The following is a 23,374-nucleotide window of genomic DNA, read 5'->3' as shown; positions in this document are numbered from 1 at the left end:
CCAGAAAAGTATTCCTCACTTCCCCTAAAAACTTTCTCCACCACTCCCTGAGGGAAATAAATAAAAATGGCTCCCCTCAACCCCGTATTTCCACATGGTTGAATCCATAAGGGACAAATAAATGAAAAACCTGAAATGACTGTTTGATTTCAGAGGTGTAGAACTTTGACCACATTAGGTAGTGCATACGGTAGATGCAATACCCATTAACCTGTTGCCTCTTTGCAGCCATATTTACAAGGGATATTGAGAATGAGACCTGAGTGTGTGCTCAGCCACTGGCTAAGAAGGTCCAATATAAGTGAGTTAGCTGGGCATTTTTACTGAGCTCAAATTAGAAGGGTAGAAAGGCTGTAGATTTAAGAAATAAGCATCAATCAAACTTGGCTTTTAATCTCAGCTCTGCCACTTTCTATTAAATGACTTTGAATAGATACTCTCTTTGCCTACTCGTCTTAAAAAATAGAGCAGTAACACTGACTTCACAGATTGGAGAATAAACGAAATTAGTGAAAATGTGCTACAAATTACTATTTATTGATCAATCCACCAGACTCCAACCCTAGGGGTCTGGCAGATTGCTCAATAAACAGTAGTTTCCTTTCTCTTAGCATAACAGTTATTTCCATAGAAAGAAAAAAAAAAACTACTCACCCTTAAAAACATCTCAAGCTTCTACTACAGATTGAAAACATTGTATGTTCAAGGCCTCCACTTTCGTCCTTAACCCAATCCCCTTTATTGGAAAGCAGCTCCATAAATTGTCTTTTCTATACTTAACAGCCTCTCCCACACTAATGACTCCTAAAGATAGGACAAAGGCTTTCCTTTAAATATTAAACAAAAATTAATTGGACACTGTGTCGCGTGATTCCCTGCATACCGAACCGTCTCCTCCATCTTTCACCTATAATCCTGGGAGGACTACTGGACACTAGCTGATCCTATCTCCTTACTTTCCATTTCCTTCTCACGCAGCACAATCTGGCTTCAACCTTCCAATCATAAAGCCATTACTCTTGCTTTCTACTTGTCAAAACAAAAGTCCCTTCAACCCTTCTCCTATTATGTCCTCTTATGTCTATGACTTGTTGATCATGCCACACATTTTGAAGCTCTACATACCTTTGTCGCTATGACAATGCCCTTTCCAGCTTCTCCTCTTGGGCTCTGACTGGAACTCATTTCCCAGGATTCATTTTTCTCCCATTTTCCTTCTGATTCCATGTGCTTCCCATAGGAGATCTCATCATTATATTTACCTACTGCATGCCAATGTCAACTCAATCTGCATCTTCTGAGCTTGTTATACAACAGCTTCTTGGATATCTTCACCCCAATGTATCTTTTACTCACACCCACTGTATTAGTTTGATAGAGCTGCTGTAACAAATTACCACAAACTGAGTGACTTAACACAACAGAAATTTATTTTCACACAGTTCAGAATGGCAGCAATCCAATCAACTGTCAGTAGGGTTGGTTCATTTTTGTGGAATCAGAGGGGAAATCTGTTTTATGCCTCTCTCTTAGCTTCTAGTGGTTGCCAGCAAACCTTGGCATCCCTTGGTTTACAGTTTCATAACTTCAATCTCCCCCAGCATTGTCATGTTGTCTACCCTCTATGTGTCTTTCTCTTTGTGTCTCTTGCCTCTTCTTATAAGGAAACCAGTCATATTGGGTTAAGAGCCCACCTTACTCTAGTATGACCTCATCCTAGCTAATTGCATATGTAGTGATCCTATTTCCAAATAAGGTCATATCCTGAGATTCTAGGAAGGACGTGAATTTTGGGGAGACATTATCCAACTCAGTACACCCATGAAGTCGCCCCATTCTTAAACCTGCATGTTTGTAAATTGTGCCAGCTCTCACTTCAAGCCAAGAATCTGAGAGGCACTCTTCATTCTCATGTCTTCTTAACTTCATATCCCAACTACCATCAAACTCAATTATTTTCATCTCCTAATATTTCTAGAATCTGAATACTTTTCCTCATCCCTAATTCTGCTGCCCTGACTCATTCAGCATCTCTTGCTTGGCCTACTAGAGCAGTCCTTCCAGTAGCCTTCAGATGAAACCTCCCCAGGATTACAACAGTATATACATATGCACAGCTTCATGGCATGTTAGAAAGACATATTTAAAAATTTTTTTTTTCTTTTCACTACTGCAAAAAGTTCTACTACTTCACTACAATACACAGAATTATCATAGACACCCTTCTTCAAGGATGATGGAACTGAAAAGAAGAGTGGTTTCTGTGAAGTCCTGGCGTTTATAAATTTTGGCTTGATAGACTTTTTGCAAACCCTTGGAGTGTAACAAAATCCACCATACCTATAATCTGGCTTTTCATTAGATTTCAAGGCCTTTTTGGGAAAAGTGAGAAAAGTAGGGCTTATTTCAGCATTTTAAAATTTAATATTATACCTGGCTCCAGAAGCTCCATGGTAGAGGTATTTATTTTCATTTTAAAATATAAAATAAACTAATGTAATACACTAATGTAATTGCATGAGTTGTAAGCCCTCTTTACACACACATGCACATACACATACACACACACTGATTTTAAGATTTTATGATTTTAAGAATTTTAAGAATGGTGTTTTCTTCTTCTGAGATGTATTAGCTCAATCCATAAAATTTAATCTAGATATAAATTATTTTGTGACCATTAAAATATAAGCATGCTTGAGAAGACTACCTAATTATTTCCTGTCTTCCATGGTTTTATTCCTGAAGCTATCACACTGGACTTCAGTTCTCCCTTTACTTTATCCAAAAAAAAAGAAAGCCTACAGTTTACTTACTCCCACACCCCCATGGGGATGCTTACTCCCACACCCCCACGGGGATAAGAATACTTTCAACAGCATAGCCAATAAGAGTGCTTAGAAGAAAGCAGAGACTGCAGGAAGGGAGAGTCTGGGAGGTACAGGAAGGAATCCAGCTCCATTCATATTGTCTGTAGATGCTTCTGTTGCTGCTTCTTCAATTACATTAAAACTATCTTGGCTACAGACCACATTGTCTTAAAGAATCTCCATTTCCTTGGCCCTCTTTCCAATCTGAGAAATCCTACTTCTAACAGATCCAGGATTCTAGGTGAGAATACCTCTTCCCGTTCAGGAAATTATGCAAATCTAGATTGTTTTATTTTTATCTAAACATCTCTGAACTCTCTTCTCCAACCAAGCACCCAACTCTTGGGCAATGTCACATTTTTACAACTAGGAGTGACTGAAGAACACAAATCCACTCTGCTCTGGGCACATAATACTGCTATTTGCCACTTGCTAGAATAAAAAGTGTACCTCAGTTCAGTAAAAAGTAGCATATCCATTTGATTTCTCAAAATCAACTGTAATTCTTTTTTTTTTTTTTTTTTTTTGATGGAGTCTCACTCTGTCACCAGGCTGGAGTGCAGTGGTGCCATCTCAGCTCACTGCAACCTCTGCCTCCTGGGTTCAAGCGATACTCCTACCTCGGCCTCCCAAATAGCTGGGACTACAGGTGTGCACCACCACACCCAGCTAATTTTTGTATTTTTAGAGAGACGGGGTTTCACCATGTTGGCTAGGATGGTCTCTACCTCTTGACCTTGTGATCCGCCCACCTCAGCCTCCCAAAGTGCTGGGATTACAGGCATGAGCCACCACGCAGGGCCAAAACCAGTTGTACTTCTAATAAAAATAAAAAATAGTAGCTGTCTTTGATTTTATGGGGATGTTCAAGTGCTTAACCTAGATTATTTCCATGTAATGTCACTACCTGGTAATGACTTTTTTAAAGTACATATAACATATGAAAATGTCTGAAACTAACAGGATTTAGAGGAACATGTACTAATGGGGGAAGTTTTAAAACAGGAAAACCAGAGCCCTGGTCTAATATGTGATTTTTGTATATGGAAATCACTTACTCTTGGGCCTTAGATCCCTAAATCTACTAATAGAATATGCTTAATTATTATTTAAAATAATTATATGGAATCATGATTAACAATGCTTATCACAAGACATATAGTTCACAAGACGTATAGTTTATTTTTGATGTTGAGGAAAGAATAATTTTGTTTTTTCTAACTCAATTAAAATTTTGCATTGAAGAAATGGAAAACCACCGAATTTATTGTCCAGCCATTCAGAGCTGGCTAAGTCTCAACACTTAAAATACAATTTTCAAACTGCATGCTTTCTCATTTTCAATTGACATTAATGAAAATTTAGTCTTGATTAAGCCTGATTCATGCTCATTTAGCATTAAAAAACATTAGGCAAGAAATATCTCGTTTCTGAGAAATATTGCGACATTTTTTTCAAAAGTGTTTGCTGTACCTCAGCTCTAAATTTGAAGAGAAGCAATGGTTCCTCTCCCAAGCCTCTCTCTATATACATATAACATCATATATGATCCAGTAAGAAACATTTATTTTTCCAGAATTTTTTAAATTTTTATATATATAACTTCTACAAAAATTACTCTATAGTGTTCCTTAAAAGTTAGACACAAGTTTGTCATACAACCTACCAATTTCACTGTTAAGCATCTACCCAAGAGAAATGAAAACGGGTACTCACAAACACTTGAATGCAAATGTTCTCAGCAGCATGATTCATAATATTCCCATATTGGAAACAACCCAAATATCCATCCACTAGTAAATTGACAAAATGTGGTATATCCATACAATGGAAAACTATTCAGCAATAAGAAGAAATGAAATACTGATACATGCCACAACATAGCTGAACCCCAAAAACATTATGCTAAGTAAGAGAAGCCATAAGCAAAAGACCATATAGTATATCATTCCATTTATATAAAATGTTCAGAAAAGGCAAATCTATAGACTGAAAGTAGATTAATGGTTGCCTGGGAATGGGAGTGGGAACAAAGACATAATGGACATAAGGAATCTTACCAAGTGAGTAAACTGTTCTAAAACCAGATATGGTAATGGTTTTACAATTTTGGAATGTTCTAAAACCAGATATGGTAATGGTTTTACAACTTTTAGAAAATTAACAAATTTTCTAAAACTCACTGAAATATAATTTTTAAATATTATTCACCCTTAAAGGGTGAACTTTATAATATATAAATTATATCTCAATAAAGTTGTAAAAAAATGCTGTAATGCAAACTGCGTAAGAATTTAAATAATTGTAAGAACTGTGAGGAAAATTAAATTGATCTATCATTGATCTAAACAATATGTTTGCAATCGACTAAAAAGGAGGAAAAACTCTTTAACAAAAATGAAATTTGACACATTTTAAAATATTCTGCATAATGTGGTCCATTAGTCTTTGATATTTTATTGAAGAAAGTTGTGGTAAAGATAAGATTGAGAAGTCCATTACTAAAAACGTTTTCCAAAAGATTTCCTTTCCAAAGCTATACTTTCCTTCAAAATCGAATCTTTTGAACTTCCAAAACACCTTTTTAGCAAATGATCTCTTGAGATAGTGTCACTAGGGGGGCATTGACCAGCACCCGGCACACTAACAGGAAACAAGGTTTATAAACTGCTGATTTAACCAAACTTGATCCATAACCTACCCCATTTTCCGTGAGCATTATGGTCATCAGTTCTCATTTTAATAATCCAAATGCTGAGCTTTCTAAATATAAAATCCCAGGAGGATTTTTTTTGAATGTGTGGCAATGTCAGTAAGAAGGAAGGCATCTTGTGAAGAGATAAAGTGGACAGATGAATTTTGAAATCTATCTGTACACGAAGAGAAATGCAATACTCGCAATATTTCTAATTCAATACCTTTCAGTATGCAAACCACTGATAAAAGAGTTTTTTTAAAATTTTTTTTCTAGATGAACGTTTAAGTGGTCATTCGCCTCAAATCTCCACTTTCCAGTCCTGCACAGACTCCAGCTAATAACACTACCACCTGCAGGGTGTTTTGTTGTTTGTTTGTTGTTTGTTTTAGTGCTTCCCACATGCCTAGTTCACGCATGCACTTTTCTAAAGGACCCGAGTTCCGTTGGCTGCGTTCCCCGGGGAGCTCTACGAAGACCGGTCTGACCTGGCCCTCTCAGCTCCCTTGGAAGGGACCTGCTGCAAGGCAGGGTCATTTGGCTCCGAAATGCACCTTCAGGAATTTCCCCAAGGGGCTAGCATCAGCACCAACCGGAACACAGGCCCTCCGCTCCCTCAGCCCGCGACCACCTGGCACTCGTGTCCCTCCCTGCGGCCTGCCGGGGTCCTAGGAGCAGGGAAAATCCAATAGCTACGGGCGACCCTTGAGTTTACTCGGTCTACCCACCTCCATATTTTATCCAAAGAATGGACGGAGGCCAGTGAGGTGAGGTGACTTGGCTAAAGCCACACAGCCGGACGCTGGCCGAGCGGGTTAGTACTCGGGTCTCTGCTAACCCCGCGGCCGCTCGTGACTACCCGGGGCTTGGTAAGCACCGCCCAGGGGAAAGACTTGGCATTGCTGGCGCGAGAGCCGAAGGACTCAGCGACTTGTGACAGGAGGTCATCAATGGCCACCTGCAGGGCAGAGTGGGCAAAAGGCAGGTGACAGACCTCCCACGTCACGCCTGTTGGCGTGAGCGTCCTTTTCACTCTCTAAGTACCCTGACTTGTGAGTTAAACGATGGATCGGGTCGCCCAAGCGAAAGAGGCATCTGCTTCGAACTCCCCCCATATTTGTGCCAGCAGGGCAGAAAATAGGAAAGTTGCACTTACCACATCTTCCCTGGGTCAGTCTCCCCCGACTTCCCAAGTCCCACTCCTCCCTCCTCGCATAGGGACACCCACTCACGCGCCCGCTCCACCAGGTACGTACCAGCCGCGCGCAGCTGCCTGCCCTGCCGGTGCCCTGGCGCTCGCGCTCGCCCAGCGCTCTGCGGCCCGGAGCTGCGACTCGGGCTCTAGCTCGCTGCCGCCTCTACAGTCCACCGGGATGCGGCCGCGTCTGAGCTACTGGGCTGGGGCGCAGCCAGGCGGTGGCAGCTACTCGGGGGCGGAGGGAGCGGCCGCCGCGTCCCGCCCCCAGGCTACGAGCGCGGCTCCCCAGGCGGTGTCCCGCTCTCCGTGCAAACCGGGCCACCGCATCACTCCCCGGGGCACGTGCCACGGTAGCTTTTTTCTGCTGGCAGCCTGGGGCGAGCTCTTTTATCCTACTTGTGCGTTAACCACCAACTAATTATCGGTGATCGTCACACAACCCGCGTCCTCCCCGCCCGCCACTCCCAGTTCCCTTGGGCGATGATGAGGTTCTGCTAAGATTTCTGTGACGTGACTGCGGGAATTTCAATTCCCTTCCTGCTTTCCGACGTCGCATCGTGTTTTCTGTCCCTCCGGTTGTACGCGCCCTGAGCAGGGTTTGTGCTCCAGGTGTCATTAAGGTTGCCCTTTGATCTAATGTTGGCTGTTTGGAGAAGGTAGGAAGGTACACAGGCTTATCTACGCCCCGAATCTGGGTCTTCGAGTTTGTTAACAGATTATTTTAACAGATTAGGAAGCAATATGCAATGGAAACAACTTTTTGTGCAATAAAAGCAGAAAATAATGTATATCAAGTTTCACTTTCAGGTTCTCACTAAGAAAAATAAAGTCGTTACTACTAAGGTCTCACTGTGCTTTTTAAAAGCCATATTACATGGACGACGATACTGCTGATAAAATTAATTTATCTGCTTCCTGAGAAAGTGGTTTCTCACTGAAGTCTTAAAATCTCCTCTGGTCTCCTGAAACTCTTAATTAGTACTCAAAGTCTTCTCTTATCTCTAGTCTTTACTAATTTGCTCATTCATACTATGCTCTGACTTGCCACCCAAAGCCTATGACACCTGCCAATGACCACTTCCAAATTCCCTTTTTAGGCAAAAGCCTAAATATGGAAATACGAAAATATAATCAGACTAATATTTTATTCAGTGTGTGCTAATGGTAGTACAATCAAGTTCTTTAAATTATTCAATATTCATACCTCCACAATATAGTAATAATTTTCTCTATTTTCAGATAGTAAACTGAGGTTCAGCAAGGTTAGATACTTTGAACAAGGCTAAATAGCTGAGAAGATTCCAAATCAGTTTTGAACTTAGGTCTTTCTGCCTTCAGGATTGATTGACTTCCTTAAATTATACTCTGCTAATAAAGCTGTGATTTTTCTGAATTGTGATGTAGGCACATTTTGTTTTGTATTAGGTTAGTGCAAAAGTAATTGCAAAAAAGTACTGGCAAAAACTGCAGTAGCTTCTGCACCCGCCTAATAAAAATATAGTTACTTGTGTGGTTACACAAGCATTAATCAAAGAGACTGAGAGTTATTTATATCATTAGTGTAACTTTAAAACTTATTATCTGGCATACTGCTAAGGCCTGTTATTATTATATTATATAATAACATATATTTTTATTATCTAGGGCAAATTATTCTAAGGTTTATTTATTTTAGAGGTACTATGACAGAGAGTGATACTAAAATGTTTGAACTTATGAATTATGGTATCATGATTGGATTTTTATGATCCTGCAAGTGTATTTCCTATACTTGAAAATTTTGCTTTGTAAAATCTGTATTTTGGGATCAATGTGAGAAAACCACTAGACCTCACTGCTAAGCTTTTAACCTACATATGAAATCATCAGAACCACTGGAATGTATGGCCCATGAAGGCCATATCCTCAACACCTAGAATAGTACCTTCACAAAGTAGGTACTCTACAGGCCGTTTTGAAATGAATAAGTATTAACTTTGTTTCCACACTTAAGACCAAATAATGACTTATAAGAACACTATTTATAGAATGCTTTTGTCTATTTAGATTTAAGATTTTTGATGGCCTCTCATTTCTACTAGGAAAGTAAGGAGAAGATGCGGAAAGGTTTGCAGTAGCTGCTTTTGCAAATGTTAGACACGACCTGACCATAAGTGCAAGGAGGAGTTTTTGAGTCCAAGAATTGGTGGTAGCAGTAATTCCACACAATCATGTGAATTGTGAATTTGTGTCAAATATATGCCTTTAAATGCAGAAAGTTTAATCCAACTTTGGGATTGTGCCAAGTGATGTGATGAAAAGACAAGGAGCAAGCTTGGATACTATTTTTAAGACAAGGTTTTAAGGTTAACAAGAATAAATAGGAAAATAAGTGAGGACAAAGAGGGGAGAAGAAGGAAGAGTCCAAGAACTACAAATCCACATCAAATGAGAGAGATAAGTTGTAGTCAGGAAATGGGATCGTTTTCTTTGAAGTTTTAGAAGTACAAAGATAGACAGTTTATGGAAGAGCTAAGGGTGGGGTTGGCTGACGTAGAACGAAGATCAAGACATTAGGGACTAAGGTATTGAAGAAACTATATGGACATTGAAGCCACCAACAGTAATACCAGAATGAAAAAAGGAGTGAGTTTGATAACAAACACTTCCGTGAATGTAGTGGACTGATCCAGAACTGAGAGGATGACTATGCAAAGTTGGGGCAGAAGGTGCATATCCAGGGAGGAAAAACGTAAGTGGATCAAGGACTGGTAAAAGAGACAATTAAGACTTCAGAAGTAATACTGGGGAGTTACAAGGATCCCAACACTGCCCCTGTGACCCTAGAATGTGAAACAATGAACAGTCTATATCAAAGGGACATCTAGGGGAAATAATTCTTAGAAGAAAGCTTATTTCCACTTAAGGCCAGAAAATGGAGAAAGCATTGTGTAAATAGTTTATGAGGTTGGTGGTATTTTTCAATATTAAATGAGGATTCTCCAAGGTCAGAGTAGTTAAGAGGTGGGAGGTAGGGCTGGCTTCGTGGGTCTATGACCTGTTCAGTTGAGCAGGGATCTACGTGTTGTTTGTTTTTGAGACAGAGTCTGACTCTCTCACCCAGGCTGGAGTGCAGTGGCCCAATCTCGGCTCACTCCAGACTTGGCCCCCCAGGCTCAAGCAATCTTCCCACCTTAGCCTCCAGAGTAGCTGAGACTACGGGCACACATCACCACACCTGGCTAACTTTTGTGGGTTTTTTTGTTTTGTTTTTTTGTTTTGTTTTGTTTTGTTTTGTTTTTTTGTAGAGACGGGGTTTTGCTATGTTGGCCAGGCTGGCCTCGAACTCCTGGGCTCAAGCGATCCACCCGTCTTGGCCTTCCACAGTGTTTGGATTTCAGGCATAAGCCACATGCCTTGCTCAGGATCTACTTTTAAGAAGGCCCTGTGCAATGTTTAATGCTCCCCTGTCCCTGCATTGAAATATTTTATTTTATTTTATTTTATTTATTTATTTATTATTATTATTTTTTTTTTTACCAAGGGGACTTGCATTTTCATCTTTCATTGAGCCCAGCAAATTATATAACCAATGCTGTGTGGAAGAAAGTAGAAATTCTTGCATGGGTGAAGCAAGAATCAGTATTTACCTTCTAGGGATTAAAGTTTGGGAAAGACTAAATGCAGAAGTTTGTATTTTGAGGGAAGACCAAGAGATGCAGGGAGAAGGATGTGGCTGCAAGGTTTCAAGTGAGATCTAGTTTTCACATCTCTTTAGGGCCAGGCTGGCTGACACCTGGGCAGAAGAAGTGGACAGTAGTTACCATCATCATACTCCATGTTTTTATATGCTGGTGGGTTAGTTTTTTTAGGGTTGCCATTAAAAATTACCACAAATTTGGTGACCTACACCAGAAGGAATTTATTCTCTCACAATTCTGGAAGCCAGAAGTCTGAAGTCAAAGTGTTGGCAGGGTATCACTTCCTGTAAAGACTCAGGGGAGAACCCTCTTTTGTCTCTTCTAGCTTTTTTTTTCTTTTTTGAGACAGAGTCTCACTCTGTCACCCAGGCTGGAGTGCAATGGCGCGATCTCTGCTCACTGCAACCTCTGCCTCCTGGGTTCGAGCGATTCTCCTGCCTCAGCCTCCCAAGTAGCACGGATTACAGGCACATGCCACCACACCCTGCTAATTTTTGCATTTTTGCAGAGACGGGGTTTCACCATGTTAGCCAGGCTCGTCTTGGACTCCTGACCTCAGGTGATCCGCCTGCCTCAGCCTCCCAAAGTGCTGGGATTACAGGCGTGGGCCACCATGCCCAGCCCTCTTCTAGCTTTTAATGGCCACAGGCAATCCTTGATTGTCTTTAGCTTATAGCTACATAACTCCAATCTCTGCATCCATTTTCACATCTTCCCTATGTTTCTTCTCTACTGTTGGCATTGGTATTCCCCTCTTCTTATAAGGACATTTGTCATTGGATTTTGCATCCACCCAGTTCATCCAGGATGATCTCCCCTGGAGATCCTTACTTTAATTGCATCTTCGAAGATCCTTTTTCCAAGTAAAGTCAAATTCACAGGTACCAGAGGTTAGGTCATGGACATATCTTTTTAGAGACCACCATTCAGTCCACTGTAGCCAAGTCTATGGAGGCCAGAGGAATAGCAAGGCTGGATGACACTGGCATGATAGCTCTTCAGGTCTATTTGGCAAAGATAACTACAATAATATGAACCTTATCAATGTTTCTAAAGCTTTCAAACTGTGATATTTAATACATATGAAAATCAGAAGATTAGAGCTGCCCAGAGTCTTTACACCCCTGAGAGTAGCTATCTGCCTTGGGGACAAAAACCACTGAGAAGTCATGTACCTGGGACAGTGAGAAGTGTGGTTACAAAGAACTGAGGAAGTTGGCTTCCCTCTTGGAGGGGAGGGGAGGATTCGCCCACTCTCCATTCCAGAGGACATATGTGGTTCCTTGGTATTAAGGGAGAGTCTACAGGATGACCATATCTCACCCTTTCCTAAAAATATAAGATTCAGAAGGGCTTATATATGAAATATAAGATTCACCTGTGGGAGAGGCTGGGCTAGTTTCTCAAGCCGTACCTTGTAAAGGAAAATTTTTTAAATCCTTAGAGAGGGAAGAAGGAAATGTCGAAATCAGTGCTAACTTTTCCTCCAGCTGACAGACACTCTGAGGAATATTCAAGTAGCTGCCAGAGACAAATGGAACTCTCTTTAAAAAGCATAACACTCTCTGGCTTTTTCTTCTTTCTGCTCCAGGACAGGAACCATAAATTCCATCAAAGACCAGAAACTATAAGTTCCACCAAAGCTTCCATCCATTATTTGCAGAGTGATGATGTGAGAGAATTCCAAATTGTGGCAGGGGCAGCAGCATAACTAAGCCGAGGTTTGGAACAGATTACAGGAGCATCCATCTTTGAAAGGCCACTAAGTATGTTGTCCTGCAACCAAGCTTGGGTGACAGAGTGGCCTAGGGCACAAGGGGCACAGACTGTGCTACTAGTTAGTGACCCTGCTCCTTTTGTATAGCAGAAAGGGTGCTACAGACCCACATTCACCAAGGGAGAAGCTGGACAATGAAACAGTTGGGGACACAACTGTCCTTTAGAAGATCAGAGTCTATAAAGTAAGAAGCAGAAGGATGGGAAAGAGACTGATTTCTTTTCAGTATTTAAAATAGAAATTTCCTAACAAAGTATTCCTTCATTACCATTGTAGTCATGTGTCTCTCCCCACTCCTGATCAATAGGGCATTGTTTTGCAGAGTAGCAGGGCATATGAAAAGAACACAGAAAACAGAAAATGTTGGGTTCTGATCCCAACTGGCAATGCCACTCAAGGCTGTGTAATCTGAGTAAAATTAGTTTTCTTATGACTGAAGGGAAGATGAAGAACTAAGGGATTATCCTGCTCTAAATTTCTTTAAGTCTCTGAATTGGCCTCCTTATTAAATCGAAATTAAGCCCAACATTTAGAACACTTTACCCATCCACCTCCAACTAACTAATTCTTATCACTTCCCAGCACAAATCCTGCTTTCCAAATAAACTCATCAACTTGACACTCCATGTGACCTCTTTTTTTCTAATTTTCATAATTGGTGCAAGGGGATGTATTTATTTTCATTACCTTCTGTTCTTAAGCAGTGTCACTTAATTTCTTCAAATTCCTGTGCACAAATCTTCTACTTTGGGAAACTTATTGAGGAATTTTTCTCCATTTCTGATCAATTCATTCAAATGTGCCAAGTTGCCATCCAATCTTACAGACTTTCCTCCATGTGTTTGGGGAGTATGGCAATTTTAAAAGAAAAATATTATTCTCTTAAGTTTTTGACATGCCCTTAAAACTTTTCATGTGTATTGTCTAACTCTACTATCACTGTCAGCATGAGATTCTTCTATTCCAAAATTGGTATTTTCTAACTTCTTCAAGTAAATGAGACAACTCTGAATGTTTCAGGACCAGTACATGAATTGCTAACCCTAACCAACTAACCATTTAATGGTGCAGCATCTGTGTTTGGCACAGAGTTGGTATCTAATAAATATTTTTGTATAAATATGTAAGTAAGCTAATGTGCACCTTTTTATTTGACCATAAGTACACACACACACTAACCATTCTCCCACCTCTCTTCTCCATTCAACAGGATGACCTTAACACATAACAAAACACCAAAAATAATTAAAGAAATCACAACTTACCAAAGATATTTTCGTGACTAATAAGTATGTGGTAAGTTATTTGCCCAAATAAGCTTTATTTGTACTAATACCTGTAAAAAATGTAGTTGAAAGCCAGGAGTGGTCGTTCATGCCTGTAATCCCAGCACTTTGGGAGGCCAAGGTGGGCGGAACACTTGAGGCCACGAGTTCAAGACCTGCCTGGCCAACGTGGCAAAACCCCATCTCTACTAAAAATCCATAAATTAGCCGGGCGTGGTAGCACATACCTATAATTGCAGCTACTCCAGAGAGTCTGAGGCAGGAGAATCGCTTGAACTCAGGAGGTGGAGGTTGCAGTGAGTTGAGATAGCACCACTGTACTCTAGCCTAAGCAACAGAGTGAGACTCTGTCTCAAAAAAAAAGAAAAAAAGAAATGTCTTTCAAATTTTTTCAATATACTTTTATGTGAATTTCTTCTGTGCACGGATACATAAAATCTAAGATTGGGTTAGATCTAAGATTAGATGCTCATAATTAAAAAATGAATTCACAACTTCTAACATGGGAAATCCTGATGTCTCTCATGCCTTATCTTATTAAATTGGAAAATATACATTTTATCAGAACTCCAGTAAGTAGCACCTTTATGACATTTATGTTATTCGTATTAGATATTATTTATTATGATCCCAAATTACTCAATAACTATAGATAAATATAATGAATGTTAAGTTGTCTTATAAAATGAATTAGGTCTTTTTAATTTAGATAAACTCTAATTTAACCATAGCTCCTGTATCACTGTTCAGAGTTGGGGTGGATGGAGTCTTTTAAAAAAGAGAAGCTTTTGAGATGTTCCTGGGGAATTGGACTTAAAAGTTAGCCTCTTTTAAAAATTTGCTTAGGAACCTAAAATGTAAACGTACTCCTATTTTTTTTTTTTTTTTTTTTTTTGAGACGCAGTCTTGCCCTGTCACCCAGGCTGGAGTGCCGTGGTGCGATCTCGGCTCGCTGCAACTTCTGCCTCCTGGGTTCAAGCAATTCTCCTGTCTCAGCCTCTCAGGTAGCTGGGACTACAGGTGTGCACCACCACACCCGGCTAATTTTTTTGTTTTTTTTGTTTGTTCATTTGTTTTTTGCTTGTTTTTTGTATTTTTAGGGGAGACGGCATTTTGCCACATTGGCCAGGCTGGTCTCGAACTCCTGGCCTCAAACAATCCGCCTGCCTCGGCCTCTCAAAGTGCTGAGATTACAAGCGTGTGCCACCACGCCTGGCCAACTTACCCTATTGATACAGGATTTTTTGTTAGTTTGTTTTTTGTCTTTTTTTGTAAGGAATTACCCTTATACTCTACTGGAATTAGAAAAGCTATAAAAATTAACATTAGCTCATTAATCCAAAGTAAATAACAACAAAAGTTGTATTCCTTAAAGCATCTTAACTGTTGAAATACAATCTCTGGCATCAACATTTCTCAGAACATTGAGGCTAAGATGCATCTTATGATTCTCATTAGCTACAGCTCTATAGACAAAATGTTAGAGAAAACAAAGCCTGTCTCCTTTCTGTATCTTTTTCATCTTCCCATTCCCAACCACTTGAGCTTCTTCTATGAGTCCTAAGTGGTTTTAAGTCCACACTGGCCCTATTAGTAGCTTCTTGTGAAACACTATTTGGGTTCAGCCATAGGAAGGTGAAGCACAGTAATTTACATCACAGAAAAGAATCTTAGGGAGATAATAATGTCTGAGAATAATTTCCAGTGGTTTGAGTTGAAGCACCGCTATGATTCCTAGGAGTAAATATCTTCCTTTACAACCAGACTTCAGGACTACCAGTTAATAGATATGCATAAGATAAATCTTTTTCCCAACCTTGTATTTATAAAAAAAAAAAAAAATGAAGGGAAAGGAAGGGAAGAGCTTGGAAGGAAAGAAAAGGGAGGACTCCATGCTTTCCTAATTGATTCCAAACTACAGGTGACCCTTAAACAACACTGGGTTAAGGGCACTGAACCCTCGCCTGTTGAAAATCCTCATATAACTTTTGACTCCCCCAGAACACAACTACTAATAGCTACTGTTGTCCAGAAGCCTTATTGATAACACAAACAGTTGATTAACACAGTTTTGTATGTTATATGTACTATATACTGATAAAGTAAGCCAGACAAAAGAAAATGTTAGTAAGAAAGTCATAAGGAAGAGACAATATATATACTATATATTAAGTGGAAATCCATCATTATAAAGGTCTTCATCCTCATCATCTTCATGTTGATTAGGCTGAGTAGGAGGAAGAGGAAGAGGAGGGGTTGGTCTTGACATCTCAGAGGTGGTAGAGGTGGAAGAAACTCTACAGATAAGTGGACCCACGCAGTTCAAATCTGTGTTGTTCAAGTGTCAGTAGTACTTGATGGAGATCCCTTTTCTTGAGTAGTAAGGAAGATATTGATACAGAATTCTAGGGTGAGAGGTTATTTTTCCAATACTTTAAAAAAGTTGCTTAACTTTGTGCCATGTACAAACTCTTTTTCTCTAATTTCTTTTAAGTTTTCTTTATTAATAATTTTAAGTCATTTTAATATTATATCCTTGATATAATTTTCTTGACAAACTTGAGGCCTATTGACTTTCTTGGGTTGGAAACATTTCGCTCATTTCTTCATATAATTATTCCTTCAACCCATCTCCTTTGGTGACTCTAATTCCACATGTGCTTGGGCTGCCTGAAGTTGTCCCACAGATCATTAATGTCCTGTTCATTATTTGGGGCCCTTTTTCTTTCTGTGTTTTATTTTTCATAGTTCTATTGCTATGCCTTACAGTTCACTGATTTTTTTTTTTTACTCTGTCATATTTAAACTGCTGTTAGTTTATACAATGCATTCATTATCTAAAGAAATTTGATGATCTGGTTTTTTTCCATATCTTCCGTATCTCTATTTAACATGCTCAATCTTTCCTCAATTTTCATGAGCATATGAGATATAGTTACTATAACTTTCATAATGTCCTCATCTATTAATTCTATTATCTGTGTCAATTTGGAATTTGTTACTATTGATTGGTTTTTTTCTCTTCATTATGGGTCATATTTCCTGCTTCCCTGCATGCCTACTCATTTTTTATTAGATTCCAGACATCATGATTTTATCATTTATGGTGGGTGATAGATATTTTTGTTTTTCTATTAGTATTCCTTAATGTTGGTCTTGGTCATAGTTATGTTACCTGAAATGACTTTATCTGTCTGAGTCTGTCTATTAAGTTTTGTGAGGTAGTATTAGAAAGAAGTAATTTATCTAGGGCTTATTTTGCCCCTCTTCTGAGGTAATGACTTTTTGAATACTCTATCTGATGTCTCTTGAATTACGAGGTTTTCCACTTTTGCTGCAAGGAACAAGAACTAATCCCAGCTCTTTGTGCCCTTTTCTTGTTGTTCCCTATGCTCCCTCAAGTGGTTTCTTCTCAGTCTGTGATAGTTAATACTGAGTGTCAACTTAATTGGATTGATGGATACAAACTATTGATCCTGGGTGTGTCTGTGAGGGTGTTGCCAAAAGAGATTAACAGTTGAGTCAGTGGGCTGGGAAAGGCAGATCCACCCTTAATCTGGTGGCCACAATCTAATCAGCTGCCAGCAAATATAAAGCAGGCAGAAAAATGTGAAAAGGAGAGACAGGCCTAGCCTCCCAGCCTACATCTTTCTCCCATGCTGGATGCTTCCTGTCCTTGAACATCAGACTCCAAGTTCTTCAGTTTTGGGACTCATACTGGCTTACCTTGATCCTCAGCTTGCAGGCAGCCTATTGTGGGACCTTGTGATCATGTAAGCTAATACTTAATAAACTCCCCTTTGTATAGATAGATATAGCTATAGATATAGATATAGATATAGATATAGATATAGATATAGATATAGATATAGATATATCCTATTAGTTCTGTCCCTGTAAAATAACCCTGACTAATACAGATTTTGGTAGCAGCAGTGGTTCTAGAGGAACAGAATATTAAGGATGGAGTTCTTTCATTGGTTTTGGGGTTTCTGGAGTTGGCTGCTTAATATGATTAGACCCAAAAATGCTAGGGACTCTACTACTAATAGTATAGAGAACACTGATAGTGCTTAGCGGCAACTGTTTAGAGAGTTATACAAAATAAATCCATTTGACACTCCTGATTCACTGCTCATGACAGGCAGAGTGAGGTGACCATATACATAATACTTTTGACCATATGTGGAGAACCAAGGAACATAATGAAGCTGGTTGGTTGCTCCTAAGTTCAGTGGACAAAGTGATGAAAGAAAATGATGAATGAAGGGATTCTGTCTCCTGGCTTCAAAAGCAGATACTGAGCCTCAAATCTGCTAAGATTGCCCTGAGTGAGTCTTATCTCCTGTAGAGAAAAAGCTGAAATTGTGGAAAAACAGATATAAGCTCTTATCGTGCGAGTGGCTGACCTGCAATGAAAAATGCATGCACAGCCTCACCAGGTGTCTACTGTTAAAGTGAGGGCATTGATTGGAAAAGAATGGGACCCTGCAACTTGGAATGGGGATGTGTGGGAGGACCCTGATAAAGCTGGGGATACTGAATTTGTAAATTCTGATGAACCTTTTTTGCCAGAAGAAACAGCTTCCCCATCCCCAGTAGTGGCAACATCCCCTTCCTGACCCATGCTGCCATCAGCCTTTCCACCTCTGTCTGAGGAGACAAACCCTGTGCTGCTTGAGGCAACAGCGATGGCCTCCCCTGAGGCAATTGCCAGACAAGATAATGTTGATTCTCCTCAGAAGCCACCCCCAACACCTCTGTTTGCTTCCAGACATATAACGAGACTAAGCTACCAGTGGACCCTAGAGGTGAGGTTGAGAATGTGACCCATGAGGAGGTGCACTACACTTGAAAAGAACTGTTTGAGTTCTTTAATTCATATAAACACAAATCTGGAGAACAGGCATGGGAATGGATATTAGGGGTATGGGATAATGGTGGAAGGAACATAGAATTGGATCAGGCTGAATTTATTGATTTGGGCCCACTAAGTAGGGACTCTGCATTGCATTTAATGTTGCAGCTCAGGGAGTTAAAAAAAAGATTATAATAGTTTATTTGTTTGGTTAGCTGAAATATGGATTAAATGATGGCCCATTGTGAGCGAGCTGGAAATGCCTGATCTCCCTTGGTTTAATGTAGAGGAAGGGATCGAAAGGCTTAGGGAGATTGGGATGGTGGAGTGGATTAGTCACTTTAGACCTACTCATCCCAGCTGGGAGGGTTCAGACAGAAGATATACCCTTCACCAATCTCTTGCAAAATAAATTTGTGAGGGCAGCACCTGCATCTTTGAAGAGCCCTGTAATTGTTCTTCTCTGTATGTCAGATCTAATGGTGGGAACCGCAGTCACTCAACTACAAAATTTAAATACAATGGGAATAATTGAATCCCGAGGTGGGAGGAGCCAAGTGGCAGCACTCAACTGTGAAAGGCAAGGTGGGTGTAGCTACTGTAATGGTCAGCAGAGGCAAAGCAGCAATCAGAATAGTCTGACTTGTGTAGAGCTCTGGCATTGGCTAATTAATCACAGTGTTCCCAGAAGTTAAATTGATAGGAAGCCTACTGCATGCCTACTTAAATTTTACAAACAGAAAACTTCTAGGTCGAATGGACAGAAGACTAATTTGAATTATAAAACAGAGAATCACAGCCTTTCAATCAATTTCCATACTTGAGTCAGTTTACAGATCCAGAACCCCTTGAGTGAAGGGGAGGCTGGGTGCCCTTGAGGAAGGACTCCACTACATTGCCAACAATTTATGCAGTGAATCTTTCTCCCATCCTTCCCCAAGGAGACCTCCAGCCTTTTACCAGGGTAACTGTGCAGTGGGGAAAGGGAAATGATTAGACATTTTGGGGACTACTGGACACTGGCTCTGAGCTGATGTTGATTCCAGGGGACCCAAAATGTCACTGTGTTCCTCCAGTTAAAGTAGGGGCTTACGGAGGTCAGGTAATTAATGGAGTTTTAGCTCAGGTCCAGCTTACAGTGGGTCCAGTTGGTCCCCAGACTCATCCTGTGGTCATTTCCCCAGTGCCAGAATGCATAATTGCAGCTGGCAGAACTCCCACATTGGCTCCCTGACTGGTAGGGTGAGGGAAGGCTACATGGTGGGAAAGGCCAAATGGAAACCATTAGAGTTGCCTTTACCTAGAAAAATAGTAAATCAAAAGCAATATTGCATCCCTGGAGAGATTGCAGAGATTAGTACCACCATCAGGGACTTGAAAGACACAGGTGTGGTGATTCCCACCACATCCCCATTCAACTCTTCCATTTGGCCTGTGCAGAAGACAGATGGATCTTGGAGAATGACAGTGGATTATTGTAAGCTTGACCAAGTGGTGACCCCAATTGCAGCTGCTGTACCAGATATGGTTTCATTAGTTAAGCAGATTAACACATCTCCTGGTACCTTGTATGCAGCCATTGACTTGGTAAATCCCTTTTTCTCCATTCCTGTCCATAAGGTCCAACAGAAGTGATTTGCCTTCAGCTGGCAAGGCCAGCAATATATCTTTACTGTCCCACCTTAGGGCTATATCAACTCTCCAGCTTTATGTCATAATCTTATTCAGAGAGACTTTGATCACTTTTCGCTTCTACAAGATATCGCGCTGGGCCATTACATTGATTATATTGTGCTCATTGGATCCAGTGAGCCAGAAGTAGCAAACGCACTGGACTTGTTGGTGAGACATTTCCATGCCAGAGGATGAGAAATAAATCTTACTAAAATTCAGGGACTTTCTACCTCAGTAAAATTTCTAGGGGTCCAGTGGTGTGGGGCCTGTCAAGATATTCTTTCTAAAGTGAAGGATAAGTTGCTGCATTTGGCCCCTCCCAAAACCAAGAAAGATGTACAACACCTGGTGGGTCTATTTGGATTTTGAAAGTAACACATTCCTCATTTGGGTGTATTACTCCAGCCCATTTATCAAGTGACCCGAAAGGCTGCCAATTTTGAGTGGGGTCCAGAACAGGAGAAGGCTCTGCAACAGGTCCAGGCTGCTGTGCAATCTGCTTTGCCACTTGGGCCATATGACCCGACAGATCCAATGGTGCTTGAGGTGTCAGTGGCAACTAGGGATGCTGTTTGGAGCCTTTGGCAGGCTCTCATAGGTGAATCACAGTGAAGGCCTCCAGGATTTTGGAGCAAGGCCCTGCCATCTTCTGCAGATAACTAGATAACTAGTCTCCTTTTGAGAGAGAGCTCTTGGCCTATTACTGGGCTTTGGTAGAAACTGAACGTTTGACTATGGGTCATGAAGTCACCATGTGACCTGAACTGCCTATCATGAACTGGGTGCTTTCTGACCTGGGTGCTTTCTGACCCATCTAGCCATAAAGTGGGTCATGCACAGCAGCATTCCATCATCAAATGGAAGTGGTATATACGTGATCAGGCTTGGGCAGGTCCTGAAGGCACAAGTAAGTTACATGAGGAAGTGGCTCAAATGCCCATGGTCTCCACTCCTGTCACCCTGCCTTCTCTCCCCAAGCCTGCACCGATGGCCTCATGGGGAGTTCCCTATGATCAGTTGACAGAGGAAGAGAAGACTAGGGCCTGGTTCACAGATGGTTCTGCATGACAGGCTGGCACCACCCGTAAGTGGACAGCTGTAGCATTAGAGCCCCTTTCTAGGACATCCCTGAAGGACAGTGGTGAAGGGCAATCTTCCCAGTGGGCAGAACTTCGAGCAGTGCACCTGGTTGTGCACTTTGCATGGAAGGAGAAATGGCCAGATGTGTGTTTATATGCTGATTCAGGAGCTATAGCCAATGGTTTGGCTGGATGGTCAGGGACTTGAAAGAAGCGTGATTGGAAAATTGGTAACAAAGAAATTTGCAGAAGAGGTAAGTGGATGGACCTCTCTGAGTGGTCAAAAACTGTGAAGATATTTGTTTCCCATGTGAGTACTCACCAACGGGTGACCTCAGCAGAGGAGGAGTTTAATAATCAAATGGATAGGATAACCGGTTCTGTGGACACCACTCAGCCTTTTTCCCCAGCCACCCCTGTCATCGTCCAATAGGCCCACGAACAAAGTGGCCATAGTGGCAGGGATGGAGGTTACACATGGACTCAGCAACATGGACTTTCACTCACCAAGACTGACCTGGTTACAGCCACTGCTGAGTGCCCAATTGCCAGCAGCAGAGACCAATACTGAGCCCTCGATATGGCACCATTCCTCAGGGTGATCAGCCAGCAACCTAGTGGCAAGTTGGTTATATTGGACCTCTTCCATCATGGAAAGGGCAGAGGTTTGTCCTCACTGGAATAGACACTTACTCTGGATATGGGTTTGCCTCTCCTGCACACAATGCTTCTGCCAAGACTACCATCTGTGGACTCCTAGAATGCCTTATCCACTGTCATGATATTCCACACAGCATTGCCTCTGACAAAGGCACTCACCTTATGGCTAAAGAAGTGCGGCAGTGGATTCATGCTCATGGAATTCACTAGTCTTACCATGTTTGCCATCATCCTGAAGCAGCTGCATTGATAGAACAGGGGAATGGTCTTTTGAAGTCACAATTACAATGCCAACTACGTGACAATATTTTGCAGGGCTAGGGAAAAGTTCTCCAGAAAGCCATGTATGCTCTGAATCAGCATCCAATATATGGTATTGTTTCCTCCCATAGCCAGAGTTCACGGATTCAGCAATCAAGAGGTGGAAGTGGAAGTGGCACCACTCGCCATCACCCCTAGTGATCCACTAGCAAAATTTTTGCTTCCTGTTCCCGCAACATTACATTCTGCTGGCCTAGAGACCTCAGTTCCAGAGGGAGGAAAGCTGCCACCAGGAGTTGCAACAACGATCCCATTAAACTGGAAGTTAAGATTGCCACCTGGACACTTTGGGGTCCTTCTACCTTTAAGTAAACAGGCAAAGAAGGGAGCTACAGTGTTGGCTGCTGTGATTGCCTCAGACTATAGATGAAATCAGTCTACTACTCCATAACCAAGGTAAAGAAATGTACGCATGGAATACAGGAGATCCATTAGGGTGACTCAGTATTACCATGCCCTGCTATTAAGGTCAATGGGAAACTACAACAGCCCAATCCAGGCAGGACTACAAATGGTCCAGACCCTTCAGGAATGAAGGTTTAGGTCTCTCCATCAGGAAAAAAACCACGACCTGTTGAGATACTTGCTGAAGGTAAAGGGAATACAGAATGGGTAGTAGAAGAAGGTAGTCATCAATACCAGTTATGACCACATGACCAGCTGCAGAAACGAGAACTGTAATTGTCATGAGCGTTTCCTTCTTTTGTTAAAAACATGTTTGTGCATGTATACACTTGTACTAAGAAAATGTCTTGGCCATGCACGGTGGTTCATGCCTCTAATCCCAGCACTTTGGGAGGCTGAGGCGGGCAGATCATGAGGTCAGGAGATCGAGACAATCCTGGCCAACATGGTGAAACCCCGTCTCTACTAAAAATACAAAAATTAGCTGGGCATGGTGGCGCACGCCTGTAATCTCAGCTTTCGGGAGGCTGAGGCAGGAGAATCGCTTGAACCCGGGAGGCAGAGGTTGCAGTGAGCAGAGATCGCACCACTGCACTCCAGCCTGGTGACAGAGCAAGACTCCATCTTAAAAAAAAAAAAAAAGTCTTAATTTTATTTCCTTTCTCCTTTATTATGTAACATAAGATTTATTGACTTCACATCAGCATTTAAGTATTGTTAACTTTATGTAATAGCTTTTGGGTTGGGGATTGGTGCATTTCTGGTTGTACAAAGGATAGTTGTATTATGTTAGGCATAATTACAACCTCATTATTGTCTTCATTTGAAGATTATGTATGATCTCAGGAGATGTGTATGGGTTCAGGTTGAC

The 23,374-nt window shown here is 41.1% G+C and overlaps 1 protein-coding gene across 11 annotated transcripts in view, besides 2 other annotated features; it reads right to left on the bottom strand.

Annotated features, from left to right (window-relative positions):
* PKIB (cAMP-dependent protein kinase inhibitor beta) overlaps positions 1 to 23,374 on the bottom strand; it is a 254,453-nt gene that overhangs the window by 109,017 nt on the left and 122,062 nt on the right. For 6 of the 11 annotated variants that reach the window (XM_047419003.1, XM_047419005.1, XM_047419006.1 and 3 more), the window contains exon 1: positions 6,822 to 6,952. The exons of 4 other annotated variants lie outside the window; for them this stretch is intronic. The gene's annotated coding sequence lies outside the window, so the exon portion shown is untranslated. Of the gene's footprint in view, positions 1 to 6,721; positions 6,953 to 23,374 lie in introns of those variants that run through there. One more of the 11 variants, XM_011535933.4, reaches the window with a different exon arrangement.
* Positions 5,660 to 6,305: an enhancer, noted in NCBI's record as "H3K4me1 hESC enhancer chr6:122932197-122932842 (GRCh37/hg19 assembly coordinates)". NCBI's record gives its function as "activates a minimal SCP1, AML or CMV promoter by ChIP-STARR-seq in naive H9 embryonic stem cells {active_cell/tissue: H9 hESC(naive)}" and the evidence as "EXISTENCE:reporter gene assay evidence [ECO:0000049][PMID:30033119]".
* Positions 6,922 to 7,101: a silencer, noted in NCBI's record as "silent region_17516". NCBI's record gives its function as "represses an Ori minimal core promoter by ATAC-STARR-seq in GM12878 lymphoblastoid cells {active_cell/tissue: GM12878}" and the evidence as "EXISTENCE:reporter gene assay evidence [ECO:0000049][PMID:35858748]".

This window comes from Homo sapiens, chromosome 6 (assembly GCF_000001405.40).
Source record: "Homo sapiens chromosome 6, GRCh38.p14 Primary Assembly".
Lineage (NCBI taxonomy): Eukaryota > Metazoa > Chordata > Mammalia > Primates > Hominidae > Homo > Homo sapiens.
The sequence above is the reverse complement of the archived record's forward strand: the minus strand, read 5'-3'. Positions and strand labels throughout refer to the sequence as shown.